The sequence below is a fragment of the Homo sapiens genome, chromosome 2, assembly GCF_000001405.40.
Source record: "Homo sapiens chromosome 2, GRCh38.p14 Primary Assembly".
Classification (NCBI taxonomy): Eukaryota; Metazoa; Chordata; class Mammalia; order Primates; family Hominidae; genus Homo; species Homo sapiens.
The window spans coordinates 151,682,842-151,705,907 of NC_000002.12; the positions used below are offsets into that span (position 1 = coordinate 151,682,842).

The window sequence follows — 23,066 nt, forward strand, 5'->3', positions numbered from 1 at the left end:
CCAAAACAATGTTTTTGAGATTTCTGACCAGCTTCCTTACTCCAGACATTAAGGTTATTTTATATATTTCTTTGGTGAGATATAGTAACAGCTCTTCGATTTTTGCTTTCCTTCTAACTGGCGTTATGTTCCATTTCATCCTTATTTCCAACTTAATGGAAGTCTGTGGTACTCTAATTCCAACCTGGAAAATGTTCGAGTCAAAGCTGCACTTCAAAGAGTAAGTGAAATTGTCAGTTAACCAAATGTGAGACGTTTGTTCCCTGGAACTTTAAGTATTATGTTTCTATCAAATTAAAATAGAAGGCCACATTGAAGGTGGGTTATTTGCTCATTTTCTAATTTCCTAATTGTATAAGACTTAATAGAACTATTCGTACTAAGTATTTGCACACATGGCCCTTCATGTGTACTGGTCAACTTTGGAGTGTTTCTACATTGGCTAACAAAACACTTTAAAACAGTTGCACTCGTTAATTTGCATAAGAGGGCGGTTATTATTTGGAATTGGTCCTAGTTGAGGCACAGTTACTTGACGCTATTAAAATGCTACTCTTGTTGTCTGACCATAGGTGGTACCAAAAATTTACGTTTTAGATACAAAATTCAAACTGTTGTTTTTTACTCTGGGCATTTTAAGTAGAATGGAAAATCAAGAAAGCATTTAGTTCCTGCCTGTCAGAGGCTTATGATCTATTTGAGATGAAAAAACATAACAAAATCAAACTAATAACAAGTAGAATAACAATGTATAATATAGAATTGTTAGTGGTAGGAATGTAAAATTTTGCAGCTGCTGCAGAAAACAGTATGGTGGTTCCTCTACAAATAAAAAATAGAGCTACCATGTGATCCAACTATTCAACTTCGGGTTTATACCCAAAAGAATCGAAAGCAGGATCTCAAAGAGATATTCACATGCCCATATTCATAGCAGCATTATTCAAAATAGCTTAAAGGTGGAAGCAACCCAAATGTCTACCAACAGATGAATGGGTGAATAAAATATGGCATATCGATACAATAGAATATTATTCACCCTTAAAAATGAAGGAAATTCTGATACATGCTACAACATGGGTGGACCTTGAGGACATTTTGCTAAGTGAAATAAGCCAATCACAAAGAGACAAATACTGTATGACTTTACATATATGAGGTATCTAGGGTTAGTCAAACTTAGAAACAAAGCGTAGATTGGTGGTTGCCACAAGCTAGGGGAAGAAGGAAAATGGGAGTTGCTGTTTAATGAATACAGAATTTCAGTCTGGGAAGATGAAAAGGCTCTGCAGATTGGTTGTACAACAATGTTAATATACTTAACACCACTGAACTGTACACTTGAAAATTGCAAAGGTGGTAAATTTATGTTATATGTATTTTGTCACATTTTAAAAAATAGAATTGTTAGGATGAAGTATTCAGTTGTGTGGTTTGGACAAATGAATTTGCTTAAAGAAGTTCTGATCTGCAGAAAAAACCGTTATAAATATTTATGTTAAATCATATATTTTCTTTTCAGATAGTAATCTATGTAAAAATCATTGATAATGATGAATGTGATGATTATGATAATAGCGATGATAAATACTGAATGTTTATTGAGAACTCACCAGGGCCTGGCACCATGCTAAGTATTTTGCATGCATTTACATCCTCCAAACAATGTTTTTGATTTATTTCCATTTTACAGAGGAGGACTCTAAACTTAGCAAGGTTGACATATTTCCCAGAGGGAAACAGTGATAGGGTGCAAGCCAGATCAGTTCTTCCTAACCTTGAAGGGCATGCTCTTATAGAACCACAAGGGTCGTTTGCTTACATACATAGGACAATGCAGATACCTCTAAGAAGTGCAAAAACCTCACTCAACTTCAAAGTCCATTTCAGTTTCCATCTTTTTAAAAGAGGGGCTACAGAAACCCTGGTTACTCACATCGCTCTGCAGCGCATATGCCTTCTTGGCAAGGTCCACATTGATGCTATCAGGGGGGTAGCTGTAACTGTGTAAGATGTGCTTATAATCAACGTCGCTGGCAATTGCCTGAGATTTCTTAGCTTGAGTGACTTGGAGCATATCAAGAGGTGCCGTGTAGATAGTTTTTGACTTTTCATAATCTTTTCGATATTCGCGCTGTGAATAGGAAATTATCATTTATTATCACAAATCCTCGATGGATTTCCAGAAAAGACAGAGATCTTTCATAAACAATAAATACAAGTTAGAGAAAGAGTCAAACATCTGAGTAGTTATTTTGCCCAAAAATGTGTTCATATGTTACATACCATTGAAATTCCCCCAAAAAGCACGCATGGGCAGACCTTCTCAAATCAATGAGAAACTGTCTGGGTCACAGCAGACAGCGGGCCACAGCTTCTGCTTCAGTCAGGAACAGGAATGATTTTATTCTAAACCAGGGTTTCTCAAGGACCACTAACAAGTGTTACTATTATTCATGTAATTTAACCTATGAAGAGTTTTCAGTAAAGAAGCATTTTTTAATTGTAATGAAAACCATATGACAATTGGATTTTAATAAAATGACTACTTCATACACAGGGCTGTAGACTTAGTTTATTGGCTGTATAGAGTCATTTTTGAATGGATAGTCAACTGGTTTTTTAACCTGTTATTGACAGGAGATAACCCCACTGAGAATCTCAAAGGTTGTTTTCATATCAAGTTCAATTGGGGCAACAATTTAAAAGAAGCTTCAGATTGCAGCAGTTAAAAGACTTCACAGGAGAAAAGTTTGAGAAACTGAGCCATTAAAATAACGTTGGCCCTTCCGTACAGCATTATAAACCAAATGTCCTGGCTGGGCCTCAAGGACTCCCTTCATTGTCTGGTTTTCTGGAATGGTTAGACAAGGTGCTAGTTGGGTCAAATTCCCAGCTTCATTGTATCCACTCACCAATTACTTTGACAGAAAAATGTTGACCCACTGCCTTTCAGAAAACTCTAAACTCATCCTAGTTTCCCATGGTCACATATGTGTTAGAGACGGTGACCCAAGCTGGCAAGTACAGATGTGCACTACAAATCTTCTGTAACAATTCCTTTTGCAAATGATCTGATCTTTTGGCTTTCTAAGGGAACTTGATCTTCCTTCTCATATTTTGTGGGTGATCATTTTCACTGAATACATTTATTATTTAACTATAAAATTGAGACCCTGGTTTATAAAAATAAAGTATGCAAACTTTGTGATAGTTTGCAACAACATTGAAAACAACAGTTTGTCTTCGTTAGAAATAAACTGATAAAGCAATATTGCAACAGCAATAGGTGTGTGGAAGTATTTTTGAAGAAATTGTTGTTACTGTTTTGTTCATGTTCACACCAGCTGACACATACCAGTACATATAAAATGTTGTCAAAGATCCAAATGGCTTTAAAAGATTCTTTTTAAAAAGCCATTCATATTCTGTGTCTGCAGCTTAGCATTTTGCCTGGATATTATGTGAGAATGACTCATTTGCTATGTGTTTTGGTCATCTACATCAATCAATTAACAAATATTTATTAGGCATTTATTATGTGCCTACTGCTGGGTTCTGTGATAGGAATAAAAACAAAAGATAAAAATACACATGCTATCAATGGGGAGTTATATCCTTCTTGAGTTGAAAAGACTCAACTAGTGAACAAGATAGTAATATAAGTGAGCACTATATACTGACATAATTCACTGTGAAGTTACTAGAGAAAATTACAGAATTAGAAGTTTTAAAGTGCTATGTAATGACAGAATAGATGCAAAATGAATTAAAGAGGTATGTATAGATCATTATATAAAAGCATGGTTAAATCTAAATGATACAAATACCCTTCTCTTTCATCATTAAAAAAACTAGTATCTGCAAGCTACACTGAACATTCTCAGTACTCTTAAGGGATTCTCTAAACATTTTATACACAATATATACTATAATTTGCAGTAGTAGATGTTTGTCTCTCTGTAGTAAGAATTTTAACTGCAAAATGTTACATGGCCCATAGATGAGCCTTAAGCAACCCATGAGTTCACCAAAATTCAGGCAAAAGGCATGAAAAGAAATGTTCATTTTCTAGATAGATGATTCAAATCTTTTATCAGAGTCTCAGGGGGGTTTATAATCAATGGAGTCTTTTTCTTGGATCTAGACCAAACTCATTACTAAAGTCAATGAAGAACGATACTCTATTAAGATTTTTGTGACTCATAAATGTCTTCCAAAGTAAAGACAGTTTGAAAATTATCATTTTAAAAATTGTTTTTCAATTAGAAGAAAATATGAAAATATCTAGTGATGTTTTCCAAAAGGTTTTAAGAATACAATCAATATTCTATTAAATATTAATGCATACATTTTTCAAAGTGAAATGGACATCAAGTACAAATCAGTAATTTCTCCCCTCAAATGTGGGAGGCACAATAATCCAGGGCATCATTCTGAAGTTCTCTACAGCAGTACTTTTGTGAATGTGATGTGAAAGAGCCCATGCTCATGAAATTCTTTTCCACACTACTACCCTTGGGCATCGTAACAGGGAGTCCATCTTGAAAACAAGACAGATTCACAAAGACACTCACATCACTCTGGTTTTTGGCTGTCTTCAAGGAGTGCAGCATCTTTGGATCGTCATTAATGCTGAGGGCTCCAATCATTTTCCCTTTGCTCTTTTCATAGTCTTTCTTGTACATCACCTGCAAAGACATCACACATGCCAGATCCCACTCACCAGGAAATGTCCCCAAGGCCACCCTGTCCAGGTCCCCAGGTCCCCAGGCCACACTCACATCGCTGGTGTTCTTGGTGTTGGCTTTGGCTGCCAACAGGGGAATGGCGTCCACTTTAATGTCAAACTTCTTGGCTTTGCTCTTCTCCCAGTCTTGCTTATAAACATTCTGGACAAGAAAAATTCAGCAAAGGAATGATAAGAACAACAGTGTAATCCAGTAAAAAAATAAAAACATATTGAAAATTTGTGTATGTATAGACTTATTTCTCCTATAAAAACTATATTTATCAAATTGTAGTATAAGTATTGATTTATCTATCATCCAGTTTCTTTCTCCCTACCACTAAATAAGTATCAACTACTCTTTTTAATGTTCTGTAAACTTTCTAAGCACTCTGCTGTCCTGATTTACATAAGGATGCTATAAAGTGACACTCACTTGGAGAAGGTGAAATGTGAAATTTACATGGGAAAGATGTTGTAAAACTCCAGGGAATAGTAGACGGGTAATTGGAGATCTTCTGATAGTAACAGAGACCACAGAAAATGAAATCTGATAGATAAGTAGGAGTCTTAAGAGCATTTTGGCCTTAAAAGCTCCACTTACAAAGTAACCATCTTAAAGTTGTTTATTTGCACAATTCCTTGTCTTGTCTTTTAAAATTTAAAACATTTTCTCTTTTCATGTACACCAAACATAGGCTTCTGTGGCTTTGGTACTTACATCACTCAGATTATAGGCATTGACTCTGTGTTGGATAAACTGTGGAGCATCTGCTGGTATATGGCACTTGAACTTCTCACCTTCATGTTTTGCTTTGTAATTCAGCTGAAAAACAAAGGATATTTGAACGGTTCAGGGGAACTTCTTTGAATTTATTTAGGGCAGCATATATAGCTAAGGCATTAGTGCTGTTTTTAGAAAAATGCCTCAAAGAGATACTCAATTCAGTCAAAGTCTCGCACAGGATTCAAACTTTCATCCCCTATTTCAGGGACTGTGGCACAGTCCTCCTTTGTCCTTGGGGGATACTTTTCAAGACCCCCAGTAGCTGCCTGAAATCATAGATGGCACTGAACCCTATACATACCATGTTCTTTCCTATACATATATACCTGTGATAAAGTTTAATTTATATATTAGGCACAGTAAGAGATTAACAACAATAACTAATAAATAGAAAAATTATAACAAAACTGTAATAAAAGTTATGTGGATGTGGTTTCTGTCTCTCAAAATATCTTACTGTATGTTTTCACCCTTCATCTTGATAAAGAAGGGACAAAGGGGGATGGTGTGAGATTTCATCATGCTACTCAGAACAACATGCAATTTAAGACTTATGAATTGTTTGTTTCTGGAATCTTCCACTTCATATTTTCAGGCCATGGTTGACTGCAGGTAACTGAAATTATGGAAAGCAAAACCGTGGATAAGGGGGATTGCTGTGTAACCATACTTTGGGCTGCCAGCTGCCATTGCATAGATTCTGTTATATACACAGGAACACATTTCCAGTCTATACTGCTAGGTTGTGTCTGGAGAACACGAACTTCTGTAATTAAAGCACTAACAAAAACAACAATAATTCTAAATAAAATACTAGCACAGTTAAAAAGATATATACTCTTTTTTTTTTTTTTTTTTTTTTTTTGAGACCGTGTCTGGCTCCATCACCCAGGCTGGAGTACAGTGACACAATCTCGGCTCACTGCAACCTCCGCCTCCCAGGCTCAAGTGATCCTCCCACCTCAGCCTCCTCAGTAGCTGAGACTACAGGCATGTGCCACCATACCCAGCTAATTTTTTTATTTTTTTGTAGAGATGGGGTTTACCATGTTGCCCAGGCTAGTTTCAAACTCCTAGGCTCAACTGATCTGCCTGCCTCAGCCTCCCAAAGTGCTGGGATCACAGGCATGAGCCACTGCACCTGCCTGTGAATTCTTATTTAAATTATTAAACACAGAACTTTATTTAAATTTTTTAAAAGGTGACGTTAGGTGTAAGGAAGGGAGTGTAAAGAACGGATGAGGCTGTTTAATTTTGGAGCCAAAGGCAAAAATGCACAAGATTGAGAACTATGCAAGAAGTAATTCCAAGGCAGAGTCCATTGCCTACCTAAGCCAATAAGAAGAGTGATTGATAGTGACTGTGACCACATACAGCACTGTATTTCTCTGCAGCTTGCTGAGTTCAGCTAGATCAGTGATGTTAGTGTTTAGCTGTTCTTTATTGGGACACAAAATATTAAGATGCTCAGAAAAGTGGCACACGAGCTGAAATGACTTCTGAGTTATACTGATGCCATTCTCCTCTTTACTAATTGGGTATGAGCTAATTTGTGTCATTAAAATATATTTTATAGTAGGACAAACTGTATCTTTCACTTACCTATCTTGAGAAGGATGTACTACTCTCTAGGACTTAGCTATGTTAGCACCTTGCTGTTCAAAGAGTAGCCTACCAATCACAGCATCAGCATCACCTAGGAGCTTATTAGAAAGTCAGAATATGGAGTCCCCTAGATCTACTGAATTAGAATCTGCACTTCAACAGGGTCAGCAGGCGATTGCATGAATGTGGAGGTCTGAGAAGCACTGCTGTTTTCCCCCGATCTTGGCATGACTGGACCACGCCTGTCTTAGACTTTCTTTGACCACTCAATCTAAAGTGCCCATCCAGTTCTTGATGTCATCCCACTTTAATTCTGTAGCACCATTCTATATTAGTTTTCTTATCACTGTTTGATGTCTGTCTTGTTACTGTGCCCTTTCTTTTTGCAAAATCTTTGTTAGCAAATTCAAGAATCGGAAATATTTGCCTTGTCCTACACAAATAGATGCTTTTGTTGTCACTGTTTATTTAAGTTGGCATGAAGTTTTAGTGTGCATGTGACAGATCCTAATGAATAAGTAAGATAGTCCTACTAAAAATCAGTGAGTTATTAAAAAATATTTATTTTTATTATTGTCTAACACAACTTTCCTCAGGCTGCAATTCAATCTAGCAGCCTCATTTGTGTTTTATTAAACAAATCTTGAAAAATAATAATATTGGGATGGTAGATGAGCCCATGAAGATTAAGCATGTAAATGCTTACATTTTAAATGAGCAAAGCACTCTGGGTCACCCACGCTTGCATAAATCAAAGCACTTACATCACTAAGCTGTTTCGTGTTGAGCTGGGCTTGCAACAGTACAGGAGAATCAGTGACTGCCGTGAATTTGGTCTTATCTGGATGAACTTTGTAGGTATGCTAGAAAAGAAGATGTTCTTTAATGAAATATCAGTATATTCTTGGTTATACATGCGCTAACATAAAAAATGGTTCCAGGTCAAAACAGAGTTTATTTTGTTCCTGAAAACTTAGTTGATGCGTTTATATTCTCACTTCTCTGTCTGTCTCTCTCTCTCTCTCTCTTTTTCCTTTAATCCCCACTTCCCAAGTTGCCTCTGGTCTGCCTACAGCAACTCAGCAACCAGATTAACCTTACCCTGCTGAAGCCTTACACAGTGACTCTTTAGTCAACTTGGTACTCAGCTTCAACTGCACGTTGGCTTATGATCCCTACAGAATCCATCCCCTCCTTCATCTCCAACCATTTCACCTCTTACTACTGTCTTCCTCCCCAGTAAATTTCAGCCACCCCATCCTTTCAATTCCTTAAATGCTGAGCTTGTTCTCTCCTTAGGCCGTTCTTCCCTGCTGCTGTTCCCCTGACCTTGGCCTGACTGGTCATGCCTGTTTTAGACCTTCCTTGACCACCCAACCTAAGACGCCCATCCAGTCACTGTCTCACACATTGTCCTATTTTAATTCTGTATCATCATCCTGTATTAGTTTCCTTATTATTGCTTGATATCTTTCTTATTTCTGTGCTCCTTCCTTTGTTTATTACTTGTCTCCTCCACTCCAGTGGGAGCTCAAGAGGTGGCTGGCTTTTTCTCTGTCTTTCTCAGCACCAAGGAAAGTGCCTGGCCCAGCATGGCTTCTCACATAGAATTTGTTAAATAATGAACACTTATCTTAAATCTGCATGTCCTTCTTTTGCCCCAAATTCGTGTAGATATAAACTAATGAAAATTAAGATTTATAAAAATCTGAAATTTTGTAGCAAATGGCCTTCCTCAACATAATTGTTGTGTTCCCCGGTTCCACCCCAAAACCAAAATGTAAAATGTAATTATCTCCTTCTAATCACTAGATATTAGCATGTAAACTCCTGCTAAATTTACCACTAGATGTCACAGGAATCCCAAGCTCAATTTCAATAATTCAGGGCAGCTAACTTACATCTTTACACTGGTCCAGCTTCTTGATTGCTTCATATTCTTGTGTTATTGTCTGAGGGAAATAGCATTTTCCTTTATCTTCTTCATATTCTGCTTTGTAACTTTTCTATAATGAGAAAAACCAAAAATAGATCATGATTGTTATGGCTCTCAAACAATGTCACTGTGAGGCATGAACCATTGTCTTCAAACTTACATCACTGTTTTGAGCTGCAACTTTCATGCAGTGTGTGTGATATGGGTCCTCCATGCTGCCTACATAATGTCCCAAAACATCCTTTACATATAAGTCTTTATATCTAGCCTGAAAAATAAAACAAATGTAATTCAAGTTAACAATCATTTGTCAAACAGTAGGAAAGCCCTCCTACCCGAAAGGTAACCGTGGCTTTTCGAACCTCACTGAAGTTCTTCAGCTGAGTATCAAGTTGATATTTTGGGGTCTCACAGTAATTCATACTCTTTGCCTTTGTCTTCTCATAGTTTTCCTTGTATAATCTCTGTTAAAGGAAAAATAAATTAAACCAAAAAGAAAGAAATATATATCTCATAAAGTAAAAGTCATTCATGTCTTTGCTGCACTTTAACTGAAGGGGCAAAATTTATGTTTTCTCACCATCAATTTTCCACAAAGCAGAAAAGCAGAATAGATGTGGTAGAGGCTCATGCCTTATATAATCTCATCTGCTAATAATCATGAAGATGTTTATGTTACTTTTCCTAATATTTTTTCAGACTGAAAAACGCACACCAATGCTGTCTTTTTTTAAATAATTTTTTGTCTTAAAGTAATTCATTTGAATATGTTTAAAGAAAAATGAGTTTCGCTAGGTGCAGGGGCTCACACCTGTCATCACAGCACTTTGGGAAGCCAAGGTGGGCAGATCACTCAAGGCCAGGAGTTCAACACCAGCCTGGCCAATGTGGTAAAACCCCGTCTCTACTAAAAATACAAAAATTAGCCGGGCGTGATGGCACATGTCTGTAATCCCAGCTACTTGGGAGGCTGAGGCAGGAGAATTGCTTGAACCTGGGAGGCAGAGATTACAGTGAGCCGAGATCGTGACACTGCACCCCAGCCTGGATGACAGAGCGAGAGCCTGTCTCAAAAAACAAAGAAGGAAAGAAAAATGAGTTTAAGAATTGATGCAAAATGAGGTAAAGGGTATAAGGTGAACCTTAGATAATTAAGCACAGTCCTGGAAGAGTATTCTGTTGAGCACTTGGTGAAAACGCATTTTGTAACACCTCCGGAAGCTGGCTATTAACATTAAGACCTAACAGTTTTCTTTAGAGCAATAATAAATGAAAATATTACTTGTCTGTGTTTCTTTTCTGCTAGGAATTAGGAAAGCAATTTCTGTGAAGAGTTTTATCTTATTTTTTATTTTTTTGTTTGATTTCCAACTTTTATTTTAAGTTCAGGTGTACATGTGCAGGATTGTGGGTTTGTTACATAGGGAAGCGTGTGCCATGGTGGTTTGCTGCACAGATCATCCTGTCACCTAGGAATTAAGCCCAGTATCCATTAGCTATTCTTCCTGATGTTCTCCCGCCTCCCCCACCCCCAGCCTCCAACAGTGTGTGTTGCACCCCCCATGTATCCATGTGTTCTCAACATTCAACTCCCACTTGTAAGTAAGAACATGAGGTATTTGATTTTCTGTTCCTGCGTTAGTTTGCTGAGGATAATGGCTTCCAGCTCCATCCATGTCCCTGCAAAGGACATGATCTGATTCCATTTTATGGCTGCACAGTATTCCATGGTCTATCTGTACCACATTTTCTTTATACAATCTATCGTTGTTGATTCCTTGTCTTTGCTATTGTGAATAGTGCTGCAATGAATATATGTGTTCATATATATTTATAATAGAATGATTTATATTCCTTTGGGTATATGCCCAGTAATGGGATTGCTGGGTCATATTTTATTTTTAATAAGTATGTTAAAGTCTTTAAAATAAGATCAATATTCTATAAATTTCTTAAAATAAAATGCTTTGCTTTTGAGTTTATGCCTTATGTAGTTTTTCTTACTTTGCCCTTACATTAATTTCTTTACTTCTTTTCATTTTCCTATATATATATTTTTGCAAACTACCTTAATCAGTTCAGGGCATTGGGTGAATATATACATGCACATGTACCTATACTTATGTATATTAAGCTCGTTTCTAGGAAAAATAATAAAAACAATGATATTGGCAGAATATTTTTCCTCCTAATAAAACAGAGGGCATTAAGGAGATTAAGGAAAATTTGCAGTATTCACTGGCATCAAAGGCATCAACAAGAATAAGGAAGTTCATCTTCCTTTAGCACCTGGGTGAAGCTTTCATGTGTGATTTGTCATCTTGAATCCAAGATTTCAGTTAGGCTAACGTCCATCCAAGGTTATATTAAACAGCAACTTTGTGGCCACGTCTGAAAATAGGGGTGAATTACAAAGAAACTCACATCACTCTGGTTTTTGGCCACCTTCAAGGAGTGCAGCATCTTGGGATCGTCATTAATGCTGAGGACTCCAATCATTTTCCCTTTGTTTTTTTCATAGTCTTTCTTGTACATCACCTGCAAAGACATCACACATGCCAGATTCCACTCAAGAGGAAATGTCCCCGAAGCCAGCCTGTCCAGGTCCCCAGGCCACACTCACATCGCTGGTGTTCTTGGTGTTGGCTTTGGCTGCCAGCAGGGGAATGGCATCCACTTTAATGTCAAACTTTTTGGCTTTGCTCTTCTCCCAGTCTTGCTTATAAAGATTCTGGACAAAAAAATTCAGCAAAGGAATTGGCAAAAGTGATATGCATGTCACGACCTTTAAAGACTAGTGGGTAACTAAATACCTTATCTTAATATAAAATAAATGGGCCCTTTTTATTGTCTAGGAAATCATGCATATTTTAAATATTTCTTCTCAAGCTGGAGCTATTAATTCTCCAAGATTGGGCTTCTCTACTCCCCATGAGAATTTTTTATCAAATTAATTTAATTCTAGCTATTATACTCATATTTGATTCCTAACACTGAATGTTTTATAGAGTAGCACATATATTCTACAGTTAACTTACTTTTTTATGATATAAAGGCATCACTTTCATTTGACCTTTAAGTTCTCTGCAAAGGTTATTTCATAAATCATTACAATACTCAGTGATGCCAGATAATCTTAGTACTCATTTATAGAATTATTGAAGAAATTGAGAACCCCAAGGATAATTTAACTTTTCTATAAAATTAAGTTTGAAAAATGAAGGATAGAAATGGGTATCTGGACTTCTGCCCTTTCAATCCCCTATATCTTTATTCATGCAAGTTCTCATATATGTAGAAATAAGTATCATTTGTGTGAAATAAGGGACATTATAGGCCCAGGGAATAAATGAATTATATATAATTTAAATGAATATATGGCTAAAAGATCTACCATTAAAATTTGCAATTAAGCATACATGAGACGTAGCATTCTGAGGGCTGGTTACAATACTATATATTACGATTATCTAATTGTATGAAATTACTTATAAGATTGCTACACATATTTTGTAAGGTGAATTCAGTTATACTGGCAGAGGCATAGCAACATGATACAAATGTTAACAGTTCTTCTCATTTTTAACATTAATCTATTCATTGAATTGCAACAAAGCAGTTCAAACATAAAAGCACAGGTTGTCAGTACATCACATGGTACAGGGCATAAGGAACTTACATCACTCAAGTTATAGGCATTGACTTTGTGCTGGATAAAAGCAGGAGTATCAGGGGGGATATGGCACTTGAACTTTTCACTTTCATGTTTTGCTTTGTAATTTAACTATGACAGAGAGAGAACCAATTAGTTCAGAAGAATTGTTCCAGAATACAAAAATTCTTGTGTGGTACATTTTGTAAAGTTAGTGACAGCATTATTGAGATCAGAAGAGACATCTAGAGCTTGGGTAGGCCATCTGCATTACTGATCCTGTGTGCAGGACACTTGGCAGCTATTATCACATCTGTCACCATGGTAGGACCCTAAGGGAATGAGGTGGCTCTGTCAAACATGTTCCCCTCCCTGCGTAGCACAATTGTCCCTGCAGGTTCTGAGAGGGGCCCCGCCCTGTCTCTCTTGTCACTGTCAGTGCTCACGTACCAGAGCCACTTTCCTTTCATCTGATTAAGAGTCCTCTCACAGACATCAGGGCTTTTGATGCTCTAATTGGAGCCTTCATTTCTGGCCATTCATCTATTGAGGTCACTTTTATTTTTTTAGTTCAACACAGCTTTGGAAATCCACACTTAAAGCTCATATAATAAAATTTGTCTCAGAGATTCCAATTTCCAGAAACTTACTAGGGAGAGAGAAATTCATGTACTGAATACCTGCTGTTGGCCAGGGTATGTGCAGTGCATATTTCTTCCTTCACTTACTCTTCAAAACAGCCACAAATTATAAAATGGAAATATCAGGCAGAGGGGGGTTAAATCTTTGGCCACCCAGACATCAATGACAGAGCTAACATTTGAATGCGGTTTTGTTTGACTCTAGAACTCATGTTCTTTCCATTGCTTTAAGCTACATTTGTTTCCTTCACAGAATTGTTTCACTGTAAATTTTATCCACCCAAGAAAATGCAGAAATATATTTTTATACAAATGTATACTGTTTAAACTTGCTAATACTTACTTAGCCTTTTGAATAAACTTGATAAGTCATTGGATTTTATGTATAGAGTTATGAAATGTTATCCCTCATAATTGGGTGTCCTGAGTAGTTAGAGGAACTTACGTCACTCAGTTGTTTGGAATTGACTTGGGCTTGTAGCAGAACAGGAGAGTCTGTAACTTGGGTGAATTTTGTCTTATCTGGATGGACTTTGTAGGTGTGCTGTGGGGAAGCAAAGGCATTTGGTTTAGTAGTATCACCTGTCAGATCCAAGGTGGCCCACAGGCCAAGCAAATAGAACCTCATGCCCCACAAAGCAATGAAACTTGTAGTTAATAAAATATATTTTTTTCTAACTAGACTGTAGTTTGAGAGGTGCTCTTATATCTGTATGAGAAACTTTCCTATATCTTCGGGTTTCCAATAACTCTTCTTTGGGAAAATGAGCTAGAATTACCTCTTAAAATGTAGGGATGTCAACAAGGGAAAATAGGATGTTTACTACAAAATAGACTTCATTTCTTGCGATTGCCTGGCTTACATTTATTTGTAAAAGTGGCAACATTTTAAACATATCCTGACCACTAGATGCTATGGAAGGCAGTCACATTCAAAGTTCAGACTACAGACTTACGTCTTTACACTGATCTAGTTTCTTAATTGCTTCATATTCTTGAGTTATGGTCTGAGGGAAGAAGCCTTTGCCTCTGTCTTCTTCGTATTCTGCTTTGTAGTTTTTCTATGAGGAGAAGAAATTAGGCATAAGATGCAGCCATTGTATTCATGCCCTGAGAAAAATGTTATTTGGAAAGTCAAACAATTGTCTTAGAACTTACATCACTGTTTTGAGCTGTGACTTTCATGCAGTGTGAATGGTATGGATCCTCGAAGCTGCCTACATAATGTCCCAAAATATCTTTTAAGTAGGAATCTTTATATTTTTTCTGCAAGACAAAACATACTTCATTTATTAATTGGTGAAATAATGGGTTCTTTTTTTAACAGAAAGAGTGACAGTAGGATTGCTTACATCACTACTGAAGTTCTGCAGAACAGTATCGAGCTTGAATTTGGGGGTCTCGCAGTAATTTATGCTCTTTGCTTTTGTCTTTTCATAGTTTTCCTTGTATAGTTTCTGTCAAAGAAAAAAAATTCAGTTAAAGTAGATTCCTGTCACTCCCACGCTGATTATAACACTTACATTTTCTAACACTAAACAAAAGATGAAGAAAAGATATCGCCTGTCAACTGTCTTAAAAACTGACAATTGAGGCCAGGTGCGGCGGCTCACGCCTGTAATCCCAGCACTTTAGGAGGCCGAGGCGGGCGGATCACGAGGTCAGGAGTTTGAGACAAGCCTAGCCAACAAAGTGAAACCCTCTCTCTACTAAAAATACAAAAAGTTACCTGGGCATGGTGGCGGGTGCCTGTAATCCCAGCTACTTGGGAGGCTGAGGCAGGAGAATTGCTTGAACCCGGGAGGCGGAGGTTGCAGTGAGCCGAGATGGCGCCATTGCACTCCAGCCCGGGCGACAATGCGAGACTCCGTCTCAAAACAAAACAAAACAAAACAAAACAAAACAAAAAGAAAAAAACCTGACAATCGAACACGGAATGTCATGAATTATAAGACTGTTCTGTTAGCAATTATTATAAGGCCTAAGTTTCATACATTCCAAACTCAAAAAAATTTTTTTTCTTTCTTTTTTTTGTAACAGCTTTATTGAGATTTAATGCATATACCACACAATTCACCAATTTAAAGTATACAATTCAATGGATTTTAGTATGTTTACAGAGTTGTGCAACTGTCACCACAATCAATTTTAAAACATTTCATCATCTCAAAAAAGCAAAACAAAAACACACCAAAAACTCTGTAGTTGCCAAGGCCTGGAAAGAAGGGAGAATAGGTATGAGGTTTATGGTTGGGGGGATTAAAAAAAATTCTGGAATGAGATGGTATTATTTGTGCAACATTGTAAATGTAATTAATGCCACTGAATTATACACTTTGAAATGGTTAAACTGAATCATGAAATGTGATCTTTTCTTTCTGATTTCTCTCTTAGCATGTTTTCAAGCTTCATCCTTGTTGTACCCTGTATCAGTACTTCATTAATTTTTTTTTTTTTTTTTTTTGAGATGGAGTCTCCCTCTGTTGCCCAGGCTGGAGTGCAGTGGCACAAACTCGGCTCACTGCAAGCTCTGCCTCCTGGGTTCATGCCATTCTCCTGCCTCAGCCTCCCGAGTAGCTGGGACTACAGGTGCCTGCCACCATGCCCGGCTAATTTTTTTGTATTTTTAGTAGAGACAGGGTTTCACTGTGTTAGCCAGGATGGTCTCCATCTCTTTTTTTTTTTTTTTAATTATACTTTAAGTTTTAGGGTACATGTGCACATTGTGCAGGTTAGTTACATATGTATACATGTGCCATGCTGGTGCGCTGCACCCACTAACTCGTCATCTAGCATTAGGTATATCTCCCAATGCTATCCCTCCCCCCTCCCCACCACAGTCCCCAGAGTGTGATATTCCCCTTCCTGTGTCCATGTGATCTCATTGTTCAGTTCCCACCTATGAGTGAGAATATGCGGTGTTTGGTTTTTTGTTCTTGCGATAGTTTACTGAGAATGATGATTTCCAGTTTCATCCATGTCCCTACAAAGGACATGAACTCATCATTTTTTATGGCTGCATAGTATTCCATGGTGTATATGTGCCACATTTTCTTAATCCAGTCTATCATTGTTGGACATTTGGGTTGGTTCCAAGTCTTTGCTATTGTGAATAATGCCGCAATAAACATACGTGTGCATGTGTCTTTATAGCAGCATGATTTATAGTCCTTTGGGTATATACCCAGTAATGGGATGGCTGGGTCAAATGGTATTTCTACTTCTAGATCCCTGAGGAATCGCCACACTGACTTCCACAATGGTTGAACTAGTTTACAGTCCCACCAACAGTGTAAAAGTGTTCCTATTTCTCCACATCCTCTCCAGCACCTGTTGTTTCCTGACTTTTTAATGATTGCCATTCTAACTGGTGTGAGATGGTATCTCATTGTGGTTTTGATTTGCATTTCTCTGATGGCCAGTGATGATGAGCATTTTTTCATGTGTTTTTTGGCTGCATAAATGTCTTCTTTTGAGAAGTGTCTGTTCATGTCCTTCGCCCACTTTTTGATGGGGTTGTTTGTTTTTTTCTTGTAAATTTGTTTGAGTTCATTGTAGATTCTGGATATTAGCCCTTTGTCAGATGAGTAGGTTGCGAAAATTTTCTCCCATTTTGTAGGTTGCCTGTTCACTCTGATGGTAGTTTCTCTTGCTGTGCAGAAGCTCTTTAGTTTAATTAGATCCGATTTGTCAATTTTGGCTTTTGTTGCCATTGCTTTTGGTGTTTTAGACAGGAAGTCCTTGCCCATGCCTATGTCCTGAATGGTAATGCCTAGGTTTTCTTCTAGGGTTTTTATGGTTTTAGGTCTAACGTTTAAGTCTTTAATCCATCTTGAATTGATTTTTGTATAAGGTGTAAGGAAGGGATCCAGTTTCAGCTTTCTACATATGGCTAGCCAGTTTTCCCAGCACCATTTATTAAATAGGGAATCCTTTCCCCATTGCTTGTTTTTCTCAGGTTTGTCAAAGATCAGATAGTTGTAGATATGCGGCGTTATTTCTGAGGGCTCTGTTCTGTTCCATTGATCTATATCTCTGTTTTGGTACCAGTACCATGCTGTTTTGGTTACTGTAGCCTTGTAGTATAGTTTGAAGTCAGGTAGTGTGATGCCTCCAGCTTTGTTCTTTTGGCTTAGGACTGACTTGGCGATGCGGGCTCTTTTTTGGTTCCATATGAACTTTAAAGTAGTTTTTTCCAATTCTGTGAAGAAAGTCATTGGTAGCTTGATGGGGATGGCATTGAATCTGTAAATTACCTTGGGCAGTATGGCCATTTTCACGATATTGATTCTTCCTACCCATGAGCATGGAATGTTCTTCCATTTGTTTGTATCCTCTTTTATTTCCTTGAGCAGTGGTTTGTAGTTCTCCTTGAAGAGGTCCTTCACATCCCTTGTAAGTTGGATTCCTAGGTATTTTATTCTCTTTGAAGCAATTGTGAATGGGAGTTCACTCATGATTTGGCTCTCTGTTTGTCTGTTATTGGTGTATAAGAATGCTTGTGATTTTTGTACATTGATTTTGTATCCTGAGACTTTGCTGAAGTTGCTTATCAGCTTAAGGAGATTTTGGGCTGAGACACTGGGGTTTTCTAGATATACAATCATGTCGTCTGCAAACAGGGACAATTTGACTTCCTCTTTTCCTACTTGAATACCCTTTATTTCCTTCTCCTGCCTAATTGCCCTGGCCAGAACTTCCAACACTATGTTGAATAGGAGTGGTGAGAGAGAGCATCCCTGTCTTGTGCCAGTTTTCAAAGGGAATGCTTCCAGTTTTTGCCCATTCAGTATGATATTGGCTGTGGGTTTGTCATAGATAGCTCTTATTATTTTGAAATACGTCCCATCAATACCTAATTTATTGAGAGTTTTTAGCATGAAGGGTTGTTGAATTTTGTCAAAGGCTTTTTCTGCATCTATTGAGATAATCATGTGGTTTTTGTCTTTGGCTCTGTTTATATGCTGGATTACATTTATTGATTTGTGTATATTGAACCAGCCTTGCATCCCAGGGATGAAGCCCACTTGATCATGGTGGATAAGCTTTTTGATGTGCTGCTGGATTCGTTTTGCCAGTAGTTTATTGAGGATTTTTGCATCAATATTCATCAAGGATATTGGTCTAAAATTCTCTTTTTTGGTTGTGTCTCTCCCTGGCTTTGGTATCAGAATGATGCTGGCCTCATAAAATGAGTTAGGGAGGATTCCCTCTTTTTCTATTGATTGGAATAGTTTCAGAAGGAATGGTACCAGTTCCTCCTTGTACCTCTGATAGAATTCGGCTGTGAATCCATCTGGTCCTGGACTCTTTTTGGTTGGTAAACTATTGATTATCGCCACAATTTCAGCTCCTGTTATTGGTCTATTCAGAGATTCAACTTCTTCCTGGTTTAGTCTTGGGAGATTGTATGTGTCGAGGAATTTATCCATTTCTTCTAGATTTTCTAGTTTATTTGCGTAGAGGTGTTTGTAGTATTCTTTGATGGTAGTTTGTATTTCTGTGGGATCGGTGGTGATATCCCCTTTATCATTTTTTATTGTGTCTATTTGATTCTTCTCTCTTTTTTTCTTTATTAGTCTTGCTAGCAGTCTATCTATTTTGTTGATCCTTTCAAAAAACCAGCTCCTGGATTCATTAATTTTTTGAAGGGTTTTTTGTGTCTCTATTTCCTTCAGTTCTGCTCTGATTTTAGTTATTTCTTGCCTTCTGCTAGCTTTTGAATGTGTTTGCTCTTGCTTTTCTAGTTCTTTTAATTGTGATGTTAGGGTGTCAATTTTGGATCTTTCCTGCTTTCTCTTGTGGGCATTTAGTGCTATAAATTCCCCTCTACACACTGCTTTGAATGCGTCCCAGAGATTCTGGTATGTTGTGTCTTTGTTCTCGTTGGTTTCAAAGAACATCTTTATTTCTGCCTTCATTTCGTTATGTACCCAGTAGTCATTCAGGAGCAGGTTGTTCAGTTTCCATGTAGTTGAGCGGTTTTGAGTGAGATTCTTAATCCTGAGTTCTAGTTTGATTGCACTGTGGTCTGAAAGATAGTTTGTTATAATGTCTGTTCTTTTACATTTGCTGAGGAGAGCTTTACTTCCAAGTATGTGGTCAATTTTGGAATAGGTGTGGTGTGGTGCTGAAAAAAATGTATATTCTGTTGGTTTGGGGTGGAGAGCTCTGTAGATGTCAATTAGGTCCGCTTGGTGCAGAGCTGAGTTCAATTCCTTGATATCCCTGTTGACTTTCTGTCTCGTTGATCTGTCTAATGTTGACAGTGGGGTGTTAAAGTCTCCCATTATTAATGTGTGGGAGTCTAAGTCTCTTTGTAGGTCACTCAGGACTTGCTTTATGAATCTGGGTGTTCCTGTATTGGGTGCATATATATTTAGGATAGTTAGCTCTTCTTGTGGAATTGATCCCTTTACCATTATGTAATGGCCTTCTTTGTCTCTTTTGATCTTTGTTGGTTTAAAGTCTGTTTTATCAGAGACTAGGATTGCAACCCCTGCCTTTTTTTTGTTTTCCATTTGCTTGGTAGATCTTCCACCATCCTTTTATTTTGAGCCTATGTGTGTCTCTGCACGTGAGTTGGGTTTCCTGAATACAGCACACTGATGGGTCTTGACTCTTTATCCAATTTGCCAGTCTGTGCCTTTTAATTGGAGCATTAAGTCCATTTACATTTAAAGTTAATATTGTTATGTGTGAATTTGATCCTGTCATTATGATGTTAGCTTGCTCGTTAGTTGATGCAGTTTCTTCCTAGTCTCGATGGTCTTTACATTTGGGCATGATTTTGCAGTGGCTGGTACCGGTTGTTGCTTTCCATGTTTAGCGCTTCCTTCAGAAGCTCTTTTAGGGCAGGCCTGGTGGTGACAAAATCTCTCAGCATTTGCTTGTCTGTAAAGTATTTTATTTCTCCTTCACTTATGAAGCTTAGTTTGGCTGGATATGAAATTCTGGGTTGAAAATTCTTTTCTTTAAGAATGTTGAATATTGGCCCCCACTGTCTTCTGGCTTGTAGGGTTTCTGCTGAGAGATCTGCTGTTAGTCTGATGGGCTTCCCTTTGAGGGTAACCCGACCTTTCTCTCTGGCTGCCCTTAACATTTTTTCCTTCATTTCAACTTTGGTGAATCTGACAATTATGTGTCTTGGAGTTGCTCTTCTCAAGGAGTATCTTTGTGGCGTTCTCTGTATTTCCTGAATCTGAACGTTGGCCTGCCTTGCTAGATTGGGGAAGTTCTCCTGGATAATATCCTGCAGAGTGTTTTCCAACTTGGTTCCATTCTCCCCATCACTTTCAGGTACACCAATCAGACGTAGATTTGGTCTTTTCACATAGTCCCATACTTCTTGGAGGCTTTGCTCATTTCTTTTTATTCTTTTTTCTCTAAACTTCCCTTCTTGCTTCATTTCATTCATTTCATCTTCCATTGCTGATACCCTTTCTTCCAGTTGATCGCATCGGCTCCTGAGGCTTCTGCATTCTTCACGTAGTTCTCGAGCCTTGGTTTTCAGCTCCATCAGCTCCTTTAAGCACTTCTCTGTATTGGTTATTCTAGTTATACATTCTTCTAAATTTTTTTCAAAGTTTTCAACTTCTTTGCCTTTGGTTTGAATGTCCTCCCGTAGCTCAGAGTAATTTGATCGTCTGAAGCCTTCTTCTCTCAGCTCGTCAAAGTCATTCTCCATCCAGCTTTATTCCGTTGCTGGTGAGGAACTGCGTTCCTTTGGAGGAGGAGAGGCGCTCTGCGTTTTAGAGTTTCCAGTTTTTCTGTTCTGTTTTTTCCCCATCTTTGTGGTTTTATCTACTCTTGGTCTTTGATGATGGTGATGTACAGATGGGTTTTTGGTGTGGATGTCCTTTCTGTTTGTTAGTTTTCCTTCTAACAGACAGGACCCTCAGCTGCAGGTCTGTTGGAATACCCTGCCGTGTGAGGTGTCAGTGTGCCCCTGCTGGGGGGTGCCTCCCAGTTAGGCTGCTCGGGGGTCAGGGGTCAGGGACCCACTTGAGGAGGCAGTCTGCCCGTTCTCAGATCTCCAGCTGCGTGCTGGGAGAACCACTGCTCTCTTCAAAGCTGTCAGACAGGGACATTTAAGTCTGCAGAGGTTACTGCTGTCTTTTTGTTTGTCTGTGCCCTGCCCCCAGAGGTGGAGCCTACAGAGGCAGGCAGGCCTCCTTGAGCTGTGGTGGGCTCCACCCAGTTCGAGCTTCCCGGCTGCTTTGTTTACCTAATCAAGCCTGGGCAATGGCGGGCGCCCCTCCCCCAGCCTCGCTGCCGCCTTGCAGTTTGATCTCAGACTGCTGTGCTAGCAATCAGCGAGACTCCGTGGGCGTAGGACCCTCCGAGCCAGGTGCAGGATATAATCTCGTGGTGCGCCGTTTTTTAAGCCGGTCAGAAAAGCGCAATATTCGGGAGGGAGTGACCCGATTTTCCAGGTGCGTCCGTCACCCCTTTCTTTGAGTCGGAAAGGTAACTCTCTGACCCCTTGCGCTTCCCAAGTGAGGCAATGCCTCGCCCTGCTTCGGCTCACGCACAGTGCGAGCACTCACTGACCTGCGCCCACTGTCTGGCACTGCCTAGTGAGATGAACCCGGTACCTCAGATGGAAATGCAGAAATCACCCGTCTTCTGCGTCGCTCGCTCACGCTGGGAGCTGTAGACCGGAGCTGTTCCTATTCGGCCATCTTGGCTCCTCCCCAAACTCAAAAAATTAAGAAACCAATATGCCACCTCTGACCACGTCCTTAGTAGCAGAGATTCTTGTGTATTTGTAAATTGCTGCCCTCTCTGTCTCTTAGCTCACATACTCTTTCCTCACTGATAGCACCACAGCAAACACAGGTTTTAAGCAATTGCAAGTTGTTTAATTTTTTTAAACAAACCTTCATGAAAAAGTTATATAAGGTGAGAAATACGCAATCTCCCTCCCTCCTATACCTATAAGAAATCTCTTATTATACAAACAATTAGCCTTCAAAATTATATATATATATATGAACTGGTACTAAGAGTTACTACTAACTCTTCTTCTCTGCCAGGATTTACCTTTAGCTTGAACAAGAAGAAGCAATGATTAGTTTTAAATATGCAGCTGATAAAGCAGATTATTGTCACTTTTTTCATTCTGGGTTTTCAAAATGTAAATGATGCTATTCATGTTTAATATTTTTATATTCCTGTCTTTATCAACAAAGGAGATTTGAACTTGGGCTTTTAGATGTTTAATAAGGATGTTTTTCACTTAGAGAGTAAAACTGCTTCAAACTGCTTTTACACTATGGGTGGGAATATAAATTAGCACAGCCACCATGGAAAACAGTATGGAGATTCCTTAAAGAACTGAAAATAGAACTACCATTCAATCCAGCAATCCCATCACTGAGTATCTACCCAAAGGAAAAGAAATAATATGAAAAAGACACATGCATAAGCATGTTCATAGCAGCACAATTCACAATTGCAAAGATGTGGAACCAACCTGAGGGCCCATCAACCAACGAGAGGATAAAGAAAATGTGGTATATATACAGCATGGAATGCTACTCAGCCATGAAAATGAATGAAATAATGTCTTTCAAAGCAACTTGAATGGAGCTGGAGGCCATTATTCTAAATGAAGTAACTCAGGAATGAAAAACCAAATATCATATGCTCTCACTTATAAGTGGAAGCTAAGCTATGAGGACACAAAGGCAGAAGAATGATATAATGGACTT

The 23,066-nt window shown here is 38.4% G+C and overlaps 1 protein-coding gene across 47 annotated transcripts in view, besides 1 other annotated feature; it reads right to left on the minus strand.

The window, feature by feature from the left end:
* The window catches only part of NEB (nebulin), a 249,138-nt gene that overhangs the window by 197,503 nt on the left and 28,569 nt on the right, over nt 1-23,066 (minus strand). For all 47 annotated transcript variants that reach the window (XM_011511227.3, XM_011511226.3, XM_005246613.3 and 44 more), the window contains exons 14-28: nt 14,703-14,807; nt 14,509-14,616; nt 14,307-14,411; nt 13,796-13,894; nt 12,737-12,841; nt 11,681-11,788; nt 11,482-11,595; nt 9,420-9,521; nt 9,218-9,325; nt 9,023-9,127; nt 7,886-7,984; nt 5,451-5,555; nt 4,785-4,892; nt 4,578-4,691; nt 1,937-2,134 (exon numbers count right to left, since the gene is read on the minus strand). In XM_011511227.3, the coding sequence (XP_011509529.1) occupies nt 1,937-2,134; nt 4,578-4,691; nt 4,785-4,892; nt 5,451-5,555; nt 7,886-7,984; nt 9,023-9,127; nt 9,218-9,325; nt 9,420-9,521; nt 11,482-11,595; nt 11,681-11,788; nt 12,737-12,841; nt 13,796-13,894; nt 14,307-14,411; nt 14,509-14,616; nt 14,703-14,807 (1,683 nt within the window). The remainder of the gene's footprint in view (nt 1-1,936; nt 2,135-4,577; nt 4,692-4,784; nt 4,893-5,450; nt 5,556-7,885; nt 7,985-9,022; nt 9,128-9,217; nt 9,326-9,419; nt 9,522-11,481; nt 11,596-11,680; nt 11,789-12,736; nt 12,842-13,795; nt 13,895-14,306; nt 14,412-14,508; nt 14,617-14,702; nt 14,808-23,066) is intronic.
* Nucleotides 21,257-21,809: an enhancer, noted in NCBI's record as "NANOG-H3K27ac-H3K4me1 hESC enhancer chr2:152560612-152561164 (GRCh37/hg19 assembly coordinates)". NCBI's record gives its function as "activates a minimal SCP1, AML or CMV promoter by ChIP-STARR-seq in primed H9 embryonic stem cells {active_cell/tissue: H9 hESC(primed)}" and the evidence as "EXISTENCE:reporter gene assay evidence [ECO:0000049][PMID:30033119]".